Source organism: Homo sapiens, chromosome Y (genome assembly GCF_000001405.40).
Source record: "Homo sapiens chromosome Y, GRCh38.p14 Primary Assembly".
In the NCBI taxonomy this organism is placed as follows: Eukaryota; Metazoa; Chordata; class Mammalia; order Primates; family Hominidae; genus Homo; species Homo sapiens.
In genome coordinates this window covers 14,552,405-14,577,599 of record NC_000024.10, presented here as the reverse complement: position 1 = coordinate 14,577,599, position 25,195 = coordinate 14,552,405, and the positions used below count along the sequence as shown (strand labels likewise).

The following is a 25,195-nucleotide window of genomic DNA, read 5'->3' as shown; positions in this document are numbered from 1 at the left end:
ACATGTACAGATACATTTATTTCAGCACTGTTACACAATAACGCTGGGATTACTTTTTAAACACTATTTGAATGTAAGTCACTTTTGCTTATTTGTATTCTCTGTCATCCTTCCTGAAAATACTCTTTGAATGTCAGATTCCTAGAGTCTCCATATTTGTTCCTTTCCCTTTGCTATCACTCTCTCTAACTGAAGTTTTATCCATTGGAGATCTCCTCACATTCTCTCTCCAATAGGATACTTTAATTTGTGTAATATGTTACATTTTAATAGAATTCCCATTTTTTTATGAGTCACTACTTCAGTGTATTTCCTACAGGTTACAGATTAATTTTGTCCCTGTTTCCTTGGTTGGTGTGTGTGCTACCTCCAGATGATTATTTTTTCAATTTTTAAAATGAGTTTCTTATTGAAGCCTTCTCAAGAATATCTAGGATTTAAGACTGTCTTTTCTCACTTAAGAATCAGGTCTGTGTGGATAGCCAGGGTTCCCTCCTCAGCAGGTGAACATATTGTACAGTACATAAGTAATAGGCCCAAATGGCCTTTAAATACCAATTATGGAATACTTTTCTTGGCCAGTTCAGTTTATGAAGAAAGGGATCCTCCAGGATGGACTTGAAGGAGTACGGTGACTTTCAACTTTGAAGGAAGGACAAGAAAGCTGATGATCATTAGTATGCACAGTGTAGACAATTCCCTTACAAACAAGGAGCCTAGGCCCTCACCCTCACTCCACTCTCTGATGTCTCTGGGTCCTTCTGTTCTAACTTTGTCAGGACAGACAGGGAGCCCAGGCCCTTGCCCCATCTCAACTCTCTGATATCCCTAGGTCCTTCTGTTCTGAGTTAACTTTCTCCAAAATAAACTTCATGGGGGGTGGAGCCAAGATGGCCGAATAGGAACAGCTCCAGTCCACAGCTTCCAGCATAAGCGATGCAGAACATGGGTGATTACTGCATTTCCAACTGAGGTACGGGGTTCATCTCACTGGGGAGTGTCAGAAAGTGGGTGCAGCACACCGAGCATGAGCCAAAGCAGGGTGAGGCATCGCCTCACCTGGGAAGTGCAAGGGGTCAGGGAACTCCCTTTCCTAGTCAAAGAAAGGGATGACAGACCGCACCTGGAAAATCAGGTCACTCCCACCCTAATACTGTGCATTTCCAATGGTCTTAGCAAACAGCACACCAGAAGATTATATCCTGCGCCTGGCTCGGAGGGTCCTACACCCACAAAGTCCTCACTCATTGCTAGCACAGCAGTCTGAGATCAAACTACAAGGTGGCAGTGAGGCTGGGGGAGGGGTACCCACGCTTTCTCAGGCTTGAGTAGGTAAACAAAGCAGCCAAAAAGCTCGAACTGGGTGGGGCCCACCACACTTCAAGAAGGCCTGCCTGTCTCTGCAGACTCCACCCCTGGGGGAAGGGCATAGCCAAACAAAAGGCAGCACAAAACTCTGCAGACTTAAATATCCCTGTCTGACAGCTTGGAAGAGAGTAGTGGTTCTCCCAGCACCCAGCTGGAGATCTGAGAATGGATAGACTGCCTTCTTAAGTAGGTCCCTGACCCCCGAGTAGCCTATCTGGGAGGCAACCCCTAGTAGGGGCAGACTGACACCTCACATAGCTGGGTACTCTTCTGAGACAAAACTTCCAGGGGAACAATCAGGCAGCAACATTTGCTGTTCACCAATATCCACTGTTGTGCAGCCTCCACTGCTGATACTCAGGCAAACAGGGTCTGGAGTGGACCTCCAGCAAATTCCAACAGGCCTGCTACTGAGGGTCCTGATTGTTAGAAGGAAAACTAACAAACAGAAAGGACATCCACACCAAAACCCCATCTGTATGTCACCATCATCAAAGACCGAAGGTAGATAAAACCACAAAGATGGGGAAAAAAACCGAACAGAAAAACAGGAAACTCTAAAAATCAGAGTGCCTCTCCTCCTCTGAAGGAATGCAGCACATCACCAGCAATGGAACAAAGCTGGATGGAGAATGACTTTGACAAATTGAGAGAAGAAGGCTACAGACAATCAAACTACTCTGAGCTAAAGGAGAAAGTTTGAACCCATGGCAAAGAAGTTAAAAACCTTGAAAAAAAAATAGACGAATGGATACAAGAATAACCAATGCAGAGAAGTCCTTAAAGGAGCTGATGGAGCTGAAAACCACAGTACAAGAACTACATGACAAATGCATAAGCCTCAGTAGCCGATGTGATCAACTGGAAGAAGGGGTATCAGTGATGGAAGATCAAATGAATGCAATGAAGTCAGAAGAGAAGTTTAGAGAAAAAAGAATAAAAAGAAAAGAGAAAAGCCTCCAAGAAATATGGAACTATGTGAAAAGACCAAATCTACATCTGATTGATGTACTTGAAAGTGACGGGGAGAATGGAACCAAGTGGGAAAACACTCTGCAGGATATTATCCAGGAGAAGTTCCCCAATCTAGCAAGGCAGGCCAATATTCAAATTCAGGAAATACAGAGAACGCCACAAAGATACTCCCCAAGAAGAGCAACTCCAAGACACATAATTTTCAGATTCACCAAGGTTGAAATGAAAGAAAAATGTTAAGGGCAGCCAGAGAGAAAGGTTGGGTTACCCACAAAGGGAAGCCCATCAGACTAACAGCTGATCTCTTGACAGAAACCCTACAAGCCAGAAGAGAGTGGGGGCCAATATTCAACATCCTTAAAGAAAAGAATTTTCAACTCAGAATTTCATATCCAGCCAAACTAAGCTTCACAAGTGAAGGGGAAATAAAACCTTTATAGACAAGCAAATGCTGAGAGATTTTGTCACCACCAGGCCTGCCCTACAAGAGCTTTTGAAGGAAGCACTAAACATGGAAAGGAACAACTGGTACCAGCCACTGCAAAAACATGCCAAATTGTAAAGACCGTCAAGGATACGAAGAAACTGCATCAACTAATGAGCAAAATAACCAGCTAACATAATGACAGGATCAAATTCATACATAACAAGGCTAATCTTAAATGTAAATGGGCCAAATGCTCCAATTAAAAGACACAGACTGGCAAATTAGATAAACAGTCAAGACCTATCAGTGTGCTGTATTCAGGAAACCCAGCTCATGTGCACAGACACAGATAGGCTCAAAACAAAGGGAAGGAGGAAGATCTACCAAGCAAATGGAAAACAAAAAAAGCCAGGGGTTGCAATCCTAGTCTCTGATAAAACAGACTTTAAACCAACACAATCAAAAGAGACGAAGAAGGCCATTACATAATGGTAAAGGGGTCAATTCAACAAGAAGAGCTAACTATCCTAAATACATATGCACCCAATACAGGGGCACCCAGATTCATAAAGCAAGTCCTTAGAGACCTACAGAGACTTACACTCCCACACAATAATAATGAGAGAGTTTAACACCCCACTGTCAACATTACACAGATCAGCCACACAGAAACTAAACAGGATATCCAGGAACTGAACACACCTCTGTACCAAGTGGACCTAATAGATATCTACAGAACTCTCCAACCCAAATCAACAGAATATACATTATTTTCAGCACCACACCACACCTATTCCAAAATTGACCACATAGTTGGAAGTAAAGCACTCCTCAAAAAATGTGAAAGAATAGAAATCATAACAAACTGTCTCTCAGACCACAGTGCAATCAAAATATAACTCAGGATTAAGAAACTCACTCAAAGCTGCTCAACTCCATGGAAACTGAACAACCTGCCCCTGAATGGCTACTGGGTACATAAGGAAATGAAGGCAGAAATAAAGATGTTCTTTGAAACCAATGAGAACAAAGACACTACCTACCAGAATCTCTGGGACACATTCAAAGCAGTGTGTAGAGGGAAATTTATAGCACTAAATGCCCACAAGAGAAAGCAGGAAAAATCTAAAATTGACACCCTAACATCACAATTAAAAGAACTACAAAAGCAAGAGCAAACACATTCAAAAGCTGGCAGAAGGCAAGAAATAACTAAGATCAGAGCAGAACTGAAGGAAATAGAGACACAAAAAACCCTTCAAAAAATCAATGAATCCAGGAGCTCGTTTTTTGAAAAGATCAACAAAACTGACAGACCGTTAGCAAGACTAATAAAGAAGAAAAGAGAGAAGAATCAAATAGTTGCAATGAAAAATGATAAAGGGGATATCACCACCGATCCCACAGAAATACAAACTACCATCAGAGAATACCATAAACAACTCTACGCAAATAAATTAGAAAATCTAGAAGAAATGGATAAATTCCTAGACACATACAACCTCCCAAGACTAAACCAGAAAGAAGTTGAATCTCTGAATAGACCAATAACAGGCTCTGCAATTGCGGCAATTATTAATAGCTTACCAAGCAAAAAAAGTCCAGGACCAGATGGATTCACAGCCGAATTCTACCACAGGTACAAGGAGGACCTGTTACCATTGCTTCTGAAACTAATGCAATCAATAGAAAAAGAGGAAATCCTCCCTAACTCATTTTATGAGGCCAGCATCATCCTGACAACAAAGCCTGGCAGAGTCACAACAAAAAAAGAGAATTTTAGACCAACATCCTTGATGAACACCTAGGCAAAAATCCTCAATAAAATACTGGCAAACTGAATCTAGCAGCACATCAAAAATTTATCCACCATGATCAAGTGGGCTTCATCCCTGGGATGCAAGGCTGATTCAACATGCACAAATCAAAAAACCTAATACAGCATATAAAGAGAACCAATGACAAAAATCATATGATTATCTCAATAGATGCAGAAAAGGCCTTTGACAAAACTCAACAACTTTCATGCTAAAAACTCTCAATAAATTCGGTATTGGTGGGACATATCTCAAAATGATAAGAGCTATCTATGACAAACCCACAGCCAATATCATACTGAATGGGCAAAAACTGGAAGCATTCCCTTTGAAAACTGGCACAAGACAAAGATGCCCTCTCTCACCACTCCTATTCAACATAGTGTTGGAAGTTCTGGCCAGGGCAATCAGGCAGGAGAAGGAAATAAAGGGTATTCGATTAGGAAAAGAGGAAGTTAAATTGTTCCTGTTTGCAGATGACATGATTGTATATCTAGAAAACGCCATCATCCTCAGCCCAAAATCTCCTTAAACTCATAGGCAACTTCAGCAATGTCTCAGGATACAAAATCACTGTGCAAAAATCAAAAGCATTCTTATACCAATAACAGACAAACAGAGAGCCAAATCATGAATGAACTCCCATTCACAATAGCTTCAAAGAGAATAAAATACCTAGGAATCCAACTTACAAGGGATGTGAATGACCTCTTCAAGGAGAACTACAAACCACTGCTCAATGAAATAAAAGAGGATATAAACAAATGGAAGAACATTCCATGCTCATGGGCAGGAAGAATCAATATCGTGAAAATGGCCATACTGTCCAGGGTAATTTATAGATTCAATGCCATCCCCATCAAGCTATCAATGACTTTCTTCACAGAGTTGGAAAAAACTACTTTAAAGTTCATGTGGAACCAAAAAAGACCCTGCATTGCCTAGTCAATCCTAAGCCAAAAGAACAAAGCTGCAGACATCATGCTACCTGACTTCAAACTATACTACAAGGCTACAGTAACCAAAACAGCATGGTACTGGTACCAAAACAGAGATATAAACCAATGGAACAGAACAGAGCCGTCAGAAATAATGTCGCATATATACAACTATCTGATCTTTGACAAACCTGACAAACACAAGAAAAGGGGAAAGGATTCCCTATTTAATAAATGGTGCTGGGAAAACTGGCTAGCCATATGTAGAAAGCTGAAATTAGATCCCTTCCTTATACCTTATACAAAAATTAATTCAAGATGGATTAAAGACCTAAATGTTAGACCTAAAACCATAAAAACCCTAGAAGAAATCCTAGGCCATACCATTCAGTACATAGGCAAGAGCAAGGACTTCATGTCTAAAACACTGAAAACAATGGGAACAATAGCCAAAATTGACAAATGGGATCTAATTAAACTAAAGAACTTCTGCACAGCCAAAGAAATTACCATCAGAGTGAACAGGCAACCTACAAAATGGGAGAAAATTTTTGCAATCTACTCATCTAACAAAGGGCTAATATCCAGATACTACAATGAACTCAAACAAATTTACAAGAAGAAAACAAACAACCCCATCAGAAAGTAGGCAAAGAATATGAACAGACACTTCTCAAAAGAAGATATTTATGCCACCAACAGAAACGTGAAAAAATGCTCATCATCACTGGCCATCAGAGAAATGCAAATCAAAACCACAATGAGATACCATCTCACAACAATTAGAATGGCGAATATTAAAAAGTCAGAAACAACAGATGCTGGAGAGGATGTGCAGAAATAGGAACACTTTTGCACTGTTGGTGGTACTATAAACTAGTTCAACCATTGTGGAAGTCAGTGTGGTGATTCCTCAGGGATCTAGAACTAGAAATAACATTTGACCCAGCCATCCCATTACTGGGTATAAACCCAGAGGATTATAAAACATGCTGCTATAAAGACACATGAACACGTGTGTTTATTGCTGCACTATTCACAATAGCAAAGACTTGGAACCAACCCAAATGTCCAACAATGATAGACTGGATTAAGAAAATGTGGCGCATATACACCCCTGAATACTATGCAGCCATAAAAAATGATGAGTTCATGTCCTTTGTAGAGACATGGATGAAGCTGGAAACCGTTAGATTCTCAGCAAACTATCTCAAGGACAAAAAACCAAACACCACATGTTCTCACTCACAGGTGGGAACTGAACAATGAGAACACATGGACACAGGAAGGGGAACATCACACACTGGGGCCTGTTGTGGGGTGGGGGGAGGGGATAGGAATAGCACTAGGAGATATACCTAATGTTAAATGAAGAGTAAATGGGTGCAGTACACTAACATAGCACATGTATGCATATGTACCAAACCTGCACGTTGTGCACATGTACCCTAAAACTTAAAGTATAATAAAAATAAATAAATAAATAAATAAATAATAAATTTCATTTGTTCCCTTTGGAGTAGAGGGAAGGACCATACTTTTGCCACACAGTGTATAAACCCATGTTTGGACCCAACTGATCTAAGTGTTTTGTATGAAGTTAAAACAATGTGTGTTGTTGGGGTTCAGAGAATGATACCACAAAATGAAGACTTCAACAGCCTCAGAGGCAGAAGGTTTATCTCTGACCCTTTCCTGACCTGCTGTCTCTCAATTCCATTCTCCCTAGAGGCTGGCCAAAGAAACTAGAACCTCTCCTCCTAAAGGCAGGTCATACAAACCAGACCGCTTCTCTATCAAAGCAGCCATAAAAGATGACCTTAACTTTCCCCCTGACTTTCTTAAACACTGGCCATAAAGAAATCTTCTGTCCTAACAGTGTGAATTGTAGGTCCTAAGACCCCTATTCCAGAGAGGGTCCTATCCCACATCCAGAAGGAAGAAAGTGCTGTTCAGAAAGGCCAAGAAGAATCTAGGCAGACAGGCCTGGCTGGGTTTCCCCACTCAGCCCATTAGCTTTAGATCAGGGCCTTTTTGTCCAATCTTATTTCTACTGGCTGTGCAGTTTCCTGAATCTTGGCATAAAAATTGAGTTTCCGAATAACCACATTAAAAGGTGTGCCAAGAACATGGACATATACTTCTCAACATATAAGTATCAATAAACATATGAAAAATGCTCCACATTACTGTTCATTAGGGAAATGTAAATCAAAACCACAATGAGATACCATCTCACACCAGTCAGAATGGCTACTATTAAAAAGTCAAAAACAAAAACAAAAAAAACCCAACAAAAGCTAGTGAGGTTGCAGAGAAAAAGGAATGCTTATATACTCCTGGTGAGAACGTAAAATATTTACGCTACTATGGAGAGTAGTTTGGAGATTTCTCAAAGGACTTAGAACAAAACTACCATTTGGCCCAGCAATCCCATTACTGGGTGTATACCTAGAGGAAAATAAATTTTTCTACAAAAAAGACACATGCAGTTGTATGTTCACTGCAGTAATATTCACAATAGCAAAAACAGGCATGAGTCAACCTGGATGCTTATCAGTGGTGGAATAAAGAAAATGTGGTATACATGCACTGTGGAATACTATGCAACCATGAAAACGAACAAAATCAGGTCCTTTGCAGAAACATGAATACTGCTGGAGGCCACCATACTAAATGAATTAACACAGGATACAGGAAATTAAATACTGTATGTTCTCAGTTACAAGTGGGAGCTTGAGTAAATCTGGAAAGAAAGATGGGAACAATAGGCACAGGGACTACTAGACTGGGGAGAAAGCAGGGTATGGGTTGAAAAGCTAGCTAGTGGCCACTATGCTTACCACTATTGATTGGGATCAACAGTACCTTATACATCAGCACCATGAAATATTCTCATGTAGCAAGGCTGTATCCTCTGAATTTAAAATAAAAGTTGAAATTAAGAAAAAAAAATGGTCTCCATCTTATCTTTGCGTCTTCGTTCTGAAGGCTCTTGTGTTACACAGATCTATGACTTAATAAATATGTATCGCTTTTCTACTATTAATCTGCTTTTTGTGACATGATTTTCAGTGAGCCTCCAGTGGGTGAAAGGGAAGGTTTTCCTTGGCTAATACATTGTTCAGTCCCACCTGGATATAGAGAAACACCATATCCTCCATATCTTTGAAATAATTTGCTGATTTTTCCTCTGAGAAAAACAGCACCACATGTAATACAATTACTCAAATTCTAACTTAAATTTAAAAAATATATATATGGTAATACAATTACTCAAATTCTAACTTAAATTTAAAAAAAATATATATATGTTTAAAAGAAAGGGTGAGGGTAGCATGAAATTATCTCTATGTTTCTCACTCAAAGAAGATGTAATGCTTTCTATGAAATATAATCATTTTATTAAACACTACCCACTGCCATGTAATATATAATCAGTTCCAATATTCCTCAAGTGCTATTACATTCTTTCCTCCCACATATCGTCATAAAGCATTCACTTTAGTTTTTCCTTTTTATCTGGCAAAGATGCTACTAATACCAATGATTAACATGATTTTTAAATAAGAAAGAAATAGGACTGCAAGTAAAAACTTACATAGAAAAATACAATGGAACAACAGGTGAGGGTTAAAATATGGGATACATATGGTAACCTGCAGTTCTAGACTTTCCTCAGTTAACATTATCATTTCCCTCTTTGTCATCCAATCATCTCAAGAACACAAGCAGTGACTCTGCTGTATCTCATTCTCCTGAAGGGCTCACTGTGGCCTCTACAGCTCCTACTCTGGCCAGGGGTCTCTAATATGAAAAGAATACAAGAATCTCGTATATACCTTTAGAAAACAGAACATCCTCTCACTCATAGGTGGGAATTGAACAATGAGAACACATGGACACATGAAGGGGAACATCACTCACTGGGACCTGTTGTGGGGTGGAGGGAGTGGGGAGGGATAGCATTAGGAGATATAGCTAATGTTAAGTGACGAGTTAACGGGTGTAGCACACCAGCATGGCACATGTATACGTATGTAACAAACCTGCACGTAGTGCACATGTACCCTAAAACTTAAAGTATAATTTAAAAAAAAAAAGAAAGAAAACAGAACATCCAAGGCAACAGATTGTTACTGGGGATTACACTAAGGTCTAATTAAAGTCACTGAATATGCTAATATTCTACTAGGTGTAGTAACACAGAACTATACTATCCCTCAAATTCAAATCAAGGCTGAGCACAGTGGCTCACACTTGTATTTCCAGCACTTGGGAAGGCTAAGGTGGGCAGATTGCTCAAGCCCAGGATTTCCAGACTAGGCTGAGTAACATGGCAAAACCCCATCTCTACAAAAAAATAAAAAAATTAGCCAAGCATGGTGGCACACACTTGTATACCTGTAGTTCCAGCTACTCAGGAGGCTGAGGTGGGAGGATTGCTTGAGCACAGAAGGTCAAAGCTGCAGTGAGCTGAGATGGCACAACTGCACTTCAGTCTGGGTGACAGAATGAGACCCTGTTACAATAAAAAAAAAAAAAAAAAATCTGGGCGTGGTGGCTCACACTTGTAATCCGAGCACTTTGGGAGGCCAAGGTGGGTGGATCACCTGAGGTCAGGAGTTCGAGACCAGCCTCAACATGGAGAAACCTCTCTCTACTAAAAATACAAAAAATTTGCCAGGCGTGGTGGTACATGCCTATAATCCCAGCTACTGGGGAGGCTGAGGCAGAAGAATTGCTTGAACCCGGAGGCAGTGGTTGCAGTAAGCCAAGATTGTGCCATTGCACTCCAGCCTGGGCAGCAAGAGCAAAACTCCATCTCCCAAAAAAAAAAAAAAAAAAAAAAAAATTCAAAGCAAAGAAAGAGTGAATACAGTCACCATAACCATTAGCATGTTCCCAGCCACAATCAGTTGTTATAAAATGGCAAAATTCAAATTAACCCTTGCTAAACAAAATAACACATATATCTAACTAGATCTACTGCTTACTTTACTTCATCCCCCTAGGGCAGGAAATATGAAGCTGGCTTTCAAAATTATAGAAGACATTCAGGAGCGGGTTGTTCAGTTTCCAGGTATTTGTGTGGTTTTGAGTGAGTTTCTTAATCCTGAGTTCTAATTTGATTGCACAGTGGTCTGGTAGACTGTTTGCTCTAATTTCTGTTCTTCTGCATTTGCTGAGGAGTGTTTTACTTGCAGTTCTGTAGTCCATTATAGAATAAGTGTGATGTGGTGCTGAGAAGAATGTATATTCTGTTGATTTGGGATGGAGAGCATTTGCTAAGGAGTGTTTTACTTGCAGTTCTGTGGTCCATTATAGAATAAGTGTGATGTGGTGCTGAGAAGAATGTATATTCTGTTGATTTGGGGTGGAGAGCTCTGTAGATGTCTATTAGATCCACTTGGTCCAGAGCTGAGTTAAGTCCTGAATATCCTTGTTAATTTTCTGTCTCATTGATCTGTCTAATATTGACACTGGGCTGTTAAAGTCTCCCACTATTATTGTGTGGGAGTGCAAGTCTCTTTGTCGGTCTCTAAGAACTTACTTTATGAATCTGGATGCTCCTGTATTGGATGCATATCTATGTAGGATAGTCAGTGCTTCTTGCTGCATAGATCCCTTTACCATTATGTAATGCCCTTCTTTGTCTCTTTTGATCTTTGTTGGTTTAAAGTCTGTTTTATCAGAGACTAGGATAGCAACCCCTGCCTTTTTTTGTTTTCCATTTGCTTGGTAGATCTTCCTCCATCCCTTTATTTTGAGCCTATGTGTGTCTTTGCACGTGAGATGGGTTTCCTGAATATAGCACACTGATGGGTCCTGACTCTTTATCCAATTTGCCAGTCTGTGTCTTTTAATTAGGACATTTAGCCCATTTACATTTAAGGTTAATATTGTTATGTGTGAATTTGATCCTATCATTATGATTTTAGCTGGTTATTATGCCCATTAATTGATGCAGTTTCTTTATAGTGTCAATGGTCTTTAGAATTTGGCATGTTTTTGCAGTGGCTGGTACTGGTTGCTGCTTTCCTTATTTGTCCTTCCTTCAGGCACTCTTGTAAGGCAGGTCTGGTAGTCACAAAATCCCTCAGCCTATGCTTGTCTGTAAAGGATTTTATTTCTCCTTTGCTTAAGAAGATTAATTTGGCTGGATATGAAATTCTGGGTTGAAAATTCTTTCCTTTAAGAATGTTGAATATTTACCCCCCCACTCTCTTCTGGCTTGTAGGGTTTCTGCAGAGAGATCTGCTGTTAGTCTGATGGGCTTCCCTTTATAAGTAACCCGACCTTTCTCTCTGGCTGCCCTTAACATTTTTTCCTTCATTTCAACCTTGGTGAATCTGATGACAATGTGTCTTGGGGTTGCTCTTCTCAAGGAGTATCTTTGTGGTGTTCTCTGTATTTCCTGAATAGGAATCTTGGACTATCTTGCTAGATTGGGGAAGTTCTACTGGATAATATTTGAAGGGTGTTTTCCAGCTTGGTTCTATTCTCCCTGTCATTATCAGGTACACCAATCAAGCATAGATTTGGTCTTTTCACAAAGTCCCATATTTCTGGAAGGCTTTGGTCATTCCTTTTTATCCTTTTTTCTCTAATCTTGTCTTCTCTCTTTATTTCATTAAGATGATCTTCAATCACTGATATTCTTTCTTCTGCTTGATCAATTCAGCAATTGATATTTGTGTATGCTTCACGAAATTCTCGTGCTGTGTTTTTCAGCTCCATCATGTCGTTTATGTTCTTCTCAAGCTGGTTATTCTAGTTAACAATTAGACTCACCTTTTTTCAAGGTTCTTAGCTTCCTGGCATTGGACTAGAATATGCTCCTTTAGCTTAGAGTTGTTTGTTATTACCCGCCTTCTGAACCCTACTTCTGTCAGTTCATCAAACTCATTATCCATCCAGTTTTGTTCCCTTGCTGGTGAGGAGTTGTGATCCTCTGGAGGAGGAGAGGCATCCTGGTTTTTGGAATTTTCAGCCTTTTTGTGCTGGTTTTTCCCCATCTTTGTGGATTTATCTACCATTGGTCTTTGACGTTGGTGACCTTTGGATGGGGTCTTTGAGTGGATATGCTAATCCTTTCTGCTTGTTTCTTTTCCTTCTAACAGTCAGGCTGCTCTGCTGTCAGTATGCTAGAGTTTGCTGGAGGTCCACTCCTGACCCTGATTGCCTGGGTGTCATCAGCAGAGCCTGCAAAGCAGCAAAGATTGCTGCTTGTTCTTTCCTCTGGAAGCTTTGACCCAGCAGGGAACCTGCCAGATGCGCTGCAGAGCTCTCCTGTATGAGGTGTCTCTTGGCCCCAACTGGGAGGTGTCTTTCAGTCAGTATACCCACTTGAGGAAGCAGACTGACCCTAGCACAGCTTGAACACCATGCTGGGAGGTTGGCTGCTGTCTTCAGAGCCTTCAGACAGGGACATTTAAGTTGGCTATAAGCCCCTGACTGGGGCTACTGCCTTTTTACAGAGATGCCCTGTCCAGAGCAGAGAAATCTGGAAGTCTGGGCACAGCCAACTTGCTGAGTTGCAGTGGGTTCCACCAAGTTTGAACTTCCTGGCAGCTTTGTTTATACTGTGGCCATAAAACCACCTACTCAAGCAATGGTGGACTCCTCTCCCCAACTAAGCTCCACTGTCCCAGGTGGATCTCAGATTGCTGCTGTTCTGGCAGCAAGAATTTCAAGCTAGTGAATCTTAGTTTCCTGGGCTCTATCAGGTTGGGACCCACCGATCCAGACCACTTAGCTCCCTGGCTTCGGCCCCCCTCTCGAGAAATGAAGGCAGAAATAAAGATGTTCTTGGAAACCAATGAGAAACAAGACATAACGTACCAGAATGTTTGGGGTACATTTAAAGCAGTGTTCACAGGGAAATTTATAGCACTTAATGTCCAGAAGAGAAAGCAGAAAAGATATAAAACTGACACCCTATCATCAAAATTAAAACAACTAGAGAAGCAAGAGCAAACAAATTCCAAAGCTAGCAGAAGACATGAAATAACTGCTATGAGAGCAGAACTGAAGGAGATCGAGACATGAAAAATCCTTCAAAAGATTAATGAATCCAGTAGCTGGTTTTTTTGAAAAGATCAACAAAATAGATAGACCAATAGCCAGATTAATAAAGAAGAAAAGAGAGAAGAATCAAACAGACTCAATAAAATATGACATAGGGGATATCACCAGTAATCCCACAGAAATACAAACTACCATCAGAGAATATTATAAGCACCTCTATGCAAATAAACTAGTAATTCTATAAGAAATGAATAAATTCCTGGACACATATACCCTCCAAAGTCTAAGCCAGGAAGAAGTTGAATCCCTGAATAGACCAATAACAAGTTCTGAAACTGAGGCAGTAATAAATAGCCTACCAACAAATAAAAAAGGACCAGGCATATTCACAGCCCAGTTCTACCAGAGGTACAAAGAGAAGCTGGTGCCATTCCTTTGGAAACTATTCCAAACAGCAGAAAAAGAAGGAATCCTCCCTAACTCATTTTATGAGGCCAGCATCATCTTGATACCAAAACCTGGCACAGACACTTCAGACAAATAAACTTTCAGACCAATATCCCTGATGAACATCAATGTGAAACTCCTCAATAAAATACTGGTAAACAGAATCCAGCAGCACATCAAAAAGCTTATCCAATACGATTGAGATGGTTTCATCCCTGGGATGCAAGGCTAATTCAACATATGGAAATCAATAACATAATCCATCACATAAACAGAGCCAATGACAAAAACCATGAGATTATCTCAATAGATGCAGAAAAAGGCTTCAAAAAAGTCAACATACTTCATGCTAAAAACTCTCAATAAACTAAGTAAAGATGAAACATATCTCTAAATAATTAAAGCTACTTATGAAAAACCTGCAGCCAATATCATACTGAAGGGCAAAAGCTGGAAGCATTCCCTTTGAAAACCGTCACAAGAGAAGGATGCCCTCTCTCACCACTTCTGTTCAACATAGTATTGGAAATTCTGGCCAGGGCAATCAGGCAAGAGAAAGAAATAAAGAGTATTCAACTTTGAAAAGAGGGAGTCAGATTGTCTCTGTTTGCACAGACATGATTGTTTATTTAGAAAACCACATCGTCTCAGCTCAAAACCTCCCTAAGCTAATAAGCAACTTCAGCAAAGTCTCAGGATACAAAATCCTGTGCAAAAATCACAACTATTCCTATACACCGATAACAGAAAAACAGAGAGCCAAATCATGAGTGAACTCCCATTCACAATTGTGAAAAAGAGAATAAAATACCTAGGAATACAACTTCCAAGGGATGTGAAGGACCTCTTCAAAGATAACTATAAACCACTGTTCAAGGAAATAAGAGAGGACAGAAACAAATGGAAAAGCATTCCATGCTAAAGGATAGGAAGAATCAATATATTGAAAATGGTCAAACTGCCCAAAGTAATTTCTTAAATGCTATCCCCATCAAGCTACCACTGTCTTTTTCACAGACTTGGAAAAAGGTACTTTAAACTTCATATGGAACCAAAAAAGGGGCCAGATTGTCCAGACAATCCTGAGCAAGAAGAACAAAGATAGAGGCATCATGCTAACTGACTTCAAACTATACTACAAGGCTACAGTAAACAAATCAGCATGGTATGGGTACCAAAACAGATATATAGACCAATGGAAAAGAATGGAGGCCTCAGGTACAACCATCTGATCTTTGACAAAGCTGTCACACACAAGTGGTGGGGAAAAGACTCCCTATTTAATAAATGGTGTTGGGAAAACTGGCCAGCTATGCAGAAAACTGAAACTGGACCCCTTTCTTACATCTTTTACAAAAATCAAATCAAAATGGATCAAAGATTTAAATGTAAGACCTAGGACCATAAAATTCCTGAAAGAAAACCTGGGCAATACCATTCAGGACATAGGCATGGGCAAAGACTTCATGTCCAAAACCCCACAAGCAATGGCAACAAAAGTCAAATTGACAAATGGGATGTAAATAAACTAAAGAGCTTCTGCACAGCAAAAGAAACTATCATCAAAGTGAACAGCCAACCTAGAGAATGGGAGAGAATTTTTGAAATCTATCCATCTGACAAAGGGCTAATATCCAGAATCTACAAAGCACTTAAACAAATTGATAAGAATAAAAGAAACCCCATCAAAAAAATGGTCAAAGTATATGAACAGAGAGTTATCAAAGGATGACATTTATGTAGCCAACAGACATATGAAATAATAGTCATCATCACTGGTCATTAGAGAAATGCAAATCAAAACCAAAATAAGATACCATCTCACGCCAGTTAGAATGGCAGTCATTAAAAAGTCAGGAAACAATAGATGCCGGAGACATTACGGAAAAATAAGAACACTTTTACACTGTTGGTGGAAGTATAAATTAGTTCAACCATTGCGGAAGAGGGTGTGGTGATTCCTCAAGTATCTAGAACTGGAAATACCATTTGACCCAGAAATCCCATTACTGGGCATATATCCAAAGATTATAAATCATTCTACAATAAAGACACATGCATACGTATGTTTATTGAGGCACTATTCACAATAGCAAATACTTGGAAACAACCCAAATGTCCATCAATGATAGACTGAATTAAGAAAATATGGCACATATACACCATGGAATACATAAAAAAGGATGAGTTTATGTCCTTTGCAAGGACATGGATGAAGCTGGAAACCATCATTCTCAGCAAACTATCACAAGAACAGAAAACCAAACAACACATGTTCTTACTCATTAGTGGGAGCTGAACAATGAGAATACATGGAGACAGGGAGGGGAACATCACATACTGGGGCCTGTCAATGGGTAGGGCCTAAGGGAGGGATAACATTAGGAGAAATACTTAATGTAGGTAATGGACTGATGGGTGCAGCAAACCACCAGGGCACATGTATACTTATTACAAAGTGCACGTTCTGCACATGTAACCCAGAACCTAAAGTATAATAATAAAATATAGAAGAGAAACTATGATTAATAAACAGTTACCTCTCAATGTAGGACGATGTATTATATGATTACCAGACAATATATTTAAAAATCCAGATGTTTTCATGCCCCTGGGTCTCTTAAACATATATATCAGCAGTATTTGACAATTTCCATATCCCCAAATTTTCAAACAGAAACTCAAAAGTTTATCTCCACAATGGTGTGGGATTAACTTTGCAATTTTAGAATTAAACACACAGAAAATCATACACTGTTATGTTTTCCCCAAAATGAAAGCTTAGGCAGAGAAAGGTTGCAAAAATGTGGAAAACATTTATATCCAGAGAAAGTCAAGGGATAACAGGACAATAGATGTAATTTTCTTTCACATCACCTCTGTATTACATTTTTCTAGGCTTTCAAAAATGTTCCATAGAATTACCTTATTTAAAGGGAGAGTAGAGATCTGCTACTCAGGTATGTGTGTTTGATGAATATAAACAGCAGTAAGTCTGCGTTGTCCTGTAAACCAAAGGACAAATTAAAATCCCTTACCTAAAGTACTGAGGCCAGTTGGCTGATCTGCAGAGAAGTGCACACTTCCAACTACCTCCTCTCAATTTCTTGTTTTCCATTCTATAAACAGTATTGCAAAATACGTCTAATTAATCCCCTTGGCAAACACATTGCCATTGTCTTCAGAGGGATCATTTTGCTAAGTGTATTCTCATTCCCATTCCCAATGCACATATGTGTTTTAGAATTCAAGAAAAGTAGGTTCCTTCCTTTTATGAAATGTGATAAATAAGAAAGTACTTATCTCCCCTAGAAATCAACATCATTTTCCAGGCAATAAATGCTATGAAGGTTTCCGGTTGAATGCTACGCTTTTCTAAATTACTCCACAATGACATTCCATAAGAGAAATACCACTGTTCCCATTTTACAAAGAAGAAAACGAAGCCTCTGAAAGGTTGAGATCTGTCCAAGGAGTTGAAGAACACACATACACACACACAAACACACACAGACATACACACACACACATAAAATACATACAGATGTTCCTGGAACTGCAATGGCGATTACATCTGAAAAACCCATGATATGTTCAAAATATCATAAGACAAAAATTTATCACATAGACCAAATATATCATGCAACATAGCCTAGTCTATTTCAAATATGTGCAGTACACTTACTTTAGCCTACAGTTGGGTAAAAGCATCTAACAGAAAGTCTATTTTATAATAAAGTGTTGAGCATCTCATGTAATTTATTGAATCCTGTACCAAAAGTGCAAATTAGAATGATTATATGGGTACTGGATGTAGAGTCTCTAGTGAATTCTGTAAACCAAAATTAAAATTCTAAGTCCCCAGTTAACTGAATATAAACCCTCTCTGCCAAGGGCATTCCAAACTAATCCTGAAAAACTTCTTCTGGCGATGAGGGGATATGGGGATTGGACATGCCTCACTATACACTTCTCTCTTTGGAACTCGGGCACAACTGACCAGAATTAACATTAAAACAGAAATCATAAGACCAACCAAACAGACACTTGATAACAAAAAGATACCAAATTTCAACCTCTCTGGTGTAACATCACATGATAGATACCAGGCCCTAAAAGAAATCAAAGCATTTTACCCCAAAATATACTTCTTTCATATATTTTGAAATGGCCTCACAAAGCTGCCTTTTATAAGGAAGAGCTGCATTCTACTCTTTACCTGAATTGTCAGAAGAAAGAGACCTGGGATAATTAATCAAACTCAAGACATTTAGGGCATTGTTTGCTCAAGATTCATCAGGAGATCTTCTAACCATGAGGCAAACACTATCTAATCCAAGGAGGGATAAAGTGGTGTGAACAAGTTTTTCAGGTTTACTTCCCTTGACTGGTCTTTTGCTCATCTTGATGTGATTAGATGAGCATCTAGCATCTTTCAAGGGTCTGAATGGGAAACTTTTGTCATCTATTGCTTCTAAGGATGGCCAACTATGAGACTTTATCTGCATAAGACCTTGGTCTCCACAACACCTTTTCTTAACCCAGACACTCCTTTCTATTGATTCCAGGTCTTTAGGTAACTTAACTCCTTCAACCAATAGCCAATTTGAAAACCTCTGAATCTGTCTATAACCGGGAATCCTCTGCTTCAAGTTGTGCCACCTTCCTGGAAGAAACAAATGTATACCTTGAATTGATGAATATCTGCCTGTAACTTCTCTCCCCTACAAAATGTATAAAATCATGCTCAACCCCCTTAGGCACATGTTCTCCGGATCTCTTGGGGCTGTGTCACAGGCCTAGGTCACTGGTATTTGGCTCAGAATAAAGCTTTTTAAATATTTTGTGGACATCTACAATGTGTATTGCCTTCACACCATCATAAGGTTGAAAATCATTAGTTGAACCATCATAAGAAGTCACTGATTGTGTATGTGTGAGTGTGTGTGCATGTATATGTGTGTGTGTATATCAACATATAGATATATCTGTGTATGTATTTTTCCCTAAACCCTGTGCTCCTCATGACTAGGATATTAAGTCTCTTTCTCATATTACGGAAGTCTATGCAGTGGTGCTGAAATGACTAAACAATGGGACGTCTCAGTGGTAACTAGGGTTTACATTTTCTTGTGCCTCTTCACACCATATTAAAAATATTTGGCAGCTTTAATAAAACAAAATCGTTATGGACTTTAAAATCTGTCCCTTCATAATTTCATTGAGTTCAGAAAATGCATCATTGAAACAACATTTTAAATGAAAGTCACAGTCTTCAAGACAAAAACCATAACTGAGAGAGTTCACATTGGCTCTGGAAATACAATTTACAAGTTTGTGGAATCAGTAAATTCATCTGTGAAGCCCTGATGAGTTAAAGTGTTTGCAGCATGGTTAGAAGACCTCCTGATGAATCTCAAGCAAACAATGACCTAAATGTCTTGAGTTTGATTAATTATACCAGGTCTCTTTCTTCTGATAACTGTCAGAAATGTTGGGTGGAGTAGTGAATGGGGAAGAGCATCCTACAAATCATACTCTGAGGAAGTTGGAGCCTACACTTTCCAGAAAAATTCCTGACTCTAAATTCTTCACATTAGTTTAATATTATGGAGAAATGTTGTTTAACACACGTTTGTTTCATTACATTTACCCCCCAATTTCCTACTCATTGCTTTGTGTCAGTTTTTTCATGTTGAACGTGAACAGGCACCTACTGATTTGGATGCATAAGGATCTCAGGGGAAAATCTGTCCCACCATGGCTCAGCCCCAAATCCCACAATACTGTATGAGTCCTGCTGAGGCTCAGAAAACAATACCCCAAAATATGGCATTTTGACAGGCTGAGTTGAAGAAGTCCAACCTCCCCCTCTCCCACTACCTCTCCCAAAGTAGCTGAAGTTTCTTTATTTGCCTAAGACACAGACTCCCACAAGGATAATAATTGTTTTTAACCCCTTCCTGTTATATCCTTATCGACTGCAGAAAAAAACCAAGATGACACCACACCTCAACAGACAGTTTTCCAAGGTTGTCCTCAAGGATTATTTAATTTTCAAAAAGAGTTATTTACAAGTTAATCTCCGTTCTAGTAATCTCCTCGACAGAATTCCTCTTCTCCCCCTCCCATCATCTGTATTACTGGGATCCAAGCCCCCACTCTTTCTGTAAACTCAGGTTGGTATATAAGCTTCAGGATCTCACAGGGAGGTTGCGTCTTCATTCTGAAGGCTCCTTTGTATCTGCATTAAGCATGTTTGTATGTCATTTCACCTGTAAATTGGTCTGCCTAGTCAGTAATTTTTCAGTAAAACTTTAGGGGATAAAAAGCCTTGGCCTCTACAGTTATGGCACAACAAGTGGGGTCACCAAAGCTGCTCTGTTCTTTTGAAAGCCACAGTGCAGAGAACCCAGGAACCAACACTGCTAGCAATAGGGTAAGACATTATCATCAGCCAGCCAGGCTCCTGGTCTCTCTCTCCCTCTGTGCAACCCGGTTGAGTGGACAGTAATAGTCACTGATTATCTCCATGATTTTTCATTGAAACTTTAGGGGGCCAAGGGCCTTGATCACAACACTGCCTAGCTTCCCTGCGTATGCTCCTAATTTTAACTAGCTCTACCATTTAGCAGACCAACAATCTGAGTAAGTGATTTAACTCTGTTTGTCTTTCTTGGCTATAAAATGAAGATAACAACTGTGTGGTCTGCATAATAATGGTCCCCCTGAGATGCCCATGTGTTAATATGCGCGGTTGTGTGGTCTTACATGGAAAAGGGATTTGAATGAAAGAGGCAGGTGGAATTAAGATTCCCAGTCAGCAGACCTTGAAATTGGGAGATCATTCCAGGTTATCCACTGTGCCCATAGAAAAGGGAAAAAGAGGGACAAACAAAAAGATGACAGAACAAGGACTCAGTCTACTGGCATTGAAGGTGGAGAAAGGAGCCTATGAGCCAACGAAAGTAGGAAGTTTCTAGAATCTTGAAAAGGTAGGGAGATGTATCCTCTCGCAGAGCTTCCAAAAATAATGAAGTCCTGATGATACCTTGATTTTAGCCTCCTAAGTCTCATTTTGGACTTCTGAGTGGTAGAACTGTATGAAGCCACTAGGTCTGTAGTAACTTGTTACCACAGCACAGATAGGAAACTAATACTAATGGTTACTATGGGGTAGAGTGGTTGACACCAATGAGTTAATATAAAAAGCACTTGGAACAGGTCTTGGTAAAGAAGAAAAGCTGCATAATTGTCAACCTATATTATAACTAATAACCTAATAGGTAAGTCTGAATTAAGGAAGCAAATTAGCAGGTAGAGTGGCAGAGTGAAAGGGACATATTAGACTGTGCATAATGACATTTGAGAGCATACAACTCCCCTTACAGTTTTCATTTAAATAATATCCTATTCTATCCACCATTTTTTCTTTGTTTGTTTTTGAGATCGAGTCTCACTCTGGTGCCTAGCTAGAGTGCAGTGACACCGTCTTGGCTCACTGTAACCCCTGCATCCTGGAGTGAAGTGATTCTCTTTCCTCAGCCTCCAGAGTATCAGGGATTACAGGCATGCACCATCATGCCTGGCTGATTTTTGTATTTTTAGTAGAGATGCGGTTTAACCATGTAGGACAGGCTAGTCTCGAACTCCTGACCTCAAGTCATCCACCTCCCTCGGCCTCCCAAAGTGCTGGGATTACAAGCATGAGTCACAATGCTAGCCCCATCATTGTTTTGACTACAAAAGCATTATAGTATATCTTGACAGGTGTATTTATTTCCTACATCAAGATAGTCAAGATTTATTTATAGTTGTACTCCTTTGTCAAATAGCAACACATTACTCACATAAAATAATCATGTCCTTTGAATGGGAAAGGTTTAATATTGATCATGAGAGCTCTAGAACATTTTGAAAAATACCAGGAGGCATCAATCAAGTTCATAACTCAACATTTGAAAATGGAAATAGGACTGGAACTGAAAATATTCATATGGCTTTATGGAGTTCGGCAAGTCTCATCTCACTCTCTCTGCTATGATCTGAATGGTTGTGTCACTCCAAATTCCTATGTTGAAATCATGACCCCCAAGATGATAGTATCAGGAGGTGAGGCCCTTGGGAGGTGATGAAGTCATGAGGTTGGAGCCTTATGAATGGGACTGGTGCCCTTACAAAAGGGAACTCAGAGAACTCCCTTATCCCTTCCACCACATGAGGATACAAGGAAAAGGCACTATCAACAAACAAAGATGTGTGTCCTCACCAGACACTGAATCTGCCACACCTTGATCTTGAATTCCCAGCCTCCAGAACTCAGCAATAAATGTCTGTTATTTATAAGCCACACAGTCTATTGTATTTCCTTACAGCAATCCGAATGGACTAAAACATTCCCTATGTGCTCTTTAACACTACTATGGCTTCCAGACCACCTAATATAAAATGAAGATATCCATCTTTTAGTTAGATGAAGGTTGAAAGCTTGTGACTCCAAAAATGATGTGTAGCATCATAACAAAGGCTTAGTGTATATTAATTATATGAAGTAATTTAGGAAAATTAAATGCCATCATGTACACCCACTGAGCTCTGATACTTGACTCAATGTGTTTTGCTTTGAGTGGAAGTGGATCCCATATGTATATTAATACATTGACTTTTCACACCCTAAACTTCCTGTGGGAATGTGCCATGTATTATGATACTTTCGCACTCAGAGGACAAGAAAATCCCTGGAAAGCAAACCACAGTGATTTTCCAACAACTACTTCACTGCCTCAGGACACCTGTTTCTACCACTGGAAAGTGGGAGAGGATGAATCTGCCTAATCTGCTGGCAGAATGAAATACAACTATGAATATAAAAAGAAGTTTCCAAATTCTAAAGCAACAAATAAATGCCTGTATGACTATTCTAGTGAGAAATGAATATTTTCAGTTTTTTAAAAAGCACTGTAGTGCAATGACAGCAACCATCATAACCATCGTGCAGATCCTTCAACATCATCATCTGCGCAGTTCAACAAACTATGAGAAATATACTTCTTTCACAGACTTATACTAAAAGTAAAATATAGAAATAGTAAGGGGCCAGGAATGATGGTTCATGCCTGTACTCTGAGGAGGTTGAAGCAGGAGGACTACTAGAGGCCAGAAGTTCGAGACCAGCCTGAATAACATAGGAACTGCATCTGTACAAAAAAATAGATTTTAAATCAACTGGGTGTGGTGGTACATGCCTGTGCTCTCAGGGGAGGCTGAAGTGTGAGGTGGGAAGATCGCCTGAGCCCAGGAGCTCAAAAGCTGCAGTGAGCTATGATTGTACTCCTACACCCCAACCTGAGCAACAGAACAAGACCCTGTCTCAAAAAAAAAAAAAAAAAAAAAAAAATAGAGGAAAAAAATAAAAAGGAAGAAATTCTAAGCTAAGGTTGATCTTTTAGGTAGGGGATTATGTGTGTAAGCATATAGGCATACATTGAGATAATTTACAAAATTACAACATCAAACACAAGTTTTTGAAGGGCTGAGCTAAGAGAGCTCCTATCCACTAATAACTGAAAAACACCCATCAATTCATTTTGAAACACCATCATGAGGAAAATGAGACATATTTTGTTCACAAAAGTTAGAAAATATTCATATAGCCAAAAGGAAAGGACAAGGTTTTGGGTCATATTGTCTTAGCATCAAGATCACTCCAGTTGCATAGGGCTAGAATTTTCTACCATATCAACCTGCTCTAATGAGTGTCAGAGCTTTGAGTAAGTCATTATTTTTTAATGATAGTAGGTAAAAATTTAGTATAGTGTTACTCGTGTAATTTTGGTGGAATTCCTAAGAAGAAGGAAACCTAAATGTCAGAATTTATATATCTACAAATTTATATATTTATATATTTTTATATATGAATATATATTTACACATTAATATAATATAATATATTTATGTATTTATATATTTACATATTGAAAATTTATATATTTTTTACACACACACACACACACACACACACACACACACAGTTTTGGTACCAGTACCATGCTTTGGTTACTGGGGCCTTGTAGCATAGTTTGAAGTCAGGTAGCTTGATGCCTCCAACTTTGTTATTTTTGCTTAGGATGGTCTTGGCTACACAAGCTCTTTTTTGGTTCCATATGAAATTTAAGGTAGTTTTTTCTAATTCTGTGAAGAAAGTCATGGTAGCTTGATGGGGATAGCATTGATTCTATAAATTACTTGGGGCATTATTGCCATTTTCACAATATTGATTCTTCAAATCCATGAGTATGGAATGTTCTTCCATTTGTTTGTGTCCTCTCTTATTTCCTTGAACAGTGGTTTGTAGCTCTCCTTGGAGAGGTCCTTCACATCCCTTTTAAGTTGTATTCCTAGGCATTTTATTCTCTTTGTAGCAATTGTGAATGGAAGTTCACTCATGATATGGCTCTCTGTTTGTCTATTACTGGGGTATAGGAATGCATGTGATTTTTCTAGCTTGATTTTGAATCCTGAGACTTTGCTAAAGTTGCTTATCAGCTTAAGGGAATTTTGGGGCTGAGACAATGGAGCTTACTAAATATACATTCATGTCATCTGCAAACAGAGACAATTTGACTTCCTCTCTTCCTACTTCAATATACTCTATTTCTTTCTCTTGCCTGATTGCCCTGGCCAGAACTTCCAATACTATGTTGAATAGGAGTGGTGACAGAGGGCATCCTTGTCTTGTGCCAGTTTTCAAAGGGAATGCTTCCAGCTTTTGCCCACTGAGTATGATATTGACTATGGCTTTGTCATAAATAGCTCTTATTAGAGATACGTTCCATTAATACCTAGTTTATTGAGGATTTTTAGCTTGAAGGAGTATTGAATTTTTTCAAAGGCCTTTTCTGCATTGAGATAATCATGTGTGGTTTTGTCATTGGTTCTGTTTATGTGATGGACAGCATTTATTGATTTTCATATATTGATTCAGACTTCCATCCCATTGATGAAGTCGACTCAATCGTGGTATATAAACTTTTTGATGTGCTGCTGGATTCTCTTTGCCAGTATTTTATTGAAAAATTTCACACCAATGTTCATCAGGGATATTTGTCTGAAATTTTATTTTTCTGTTGTGTCTCTGCCAGGTTGTGGTATCAGGATGATGCCAGCCTCATAAAATGAGTTAGGGAGGGTTC

General features: G+C 39.2%; 1 protein-coding gene across 20 annotated transcripts in view; it reads right to left on the bottom strand.

Moving 5' to 3' along the window:
* Window positions 1-25,195, bottom strand: part of NLGN4Y (neuroligin 4 Y-linked) — a 323,039-nt gene that overhangs the window by 268,055 nt on the left and 29,789 nt on the right. For 2 of the 20 annotated variants that reach the window (XM_011531428.2, XM_047442719.1), the window contains exon 2: window positions 16,929-17,008. The exons of 17 other annotated variants lie outside the window; for them this stretch is intronic. The gene's annotated coding sequence lies outside the window, so the exon portion shown is untranslated. Of the gene's footprint in view, window positions 1-16,928; window positions 23,867-25,195 lie in introns of those variants that run through there. One more of the 20 variants, XM_024452490.2, reaches the window with a different exon arrangement.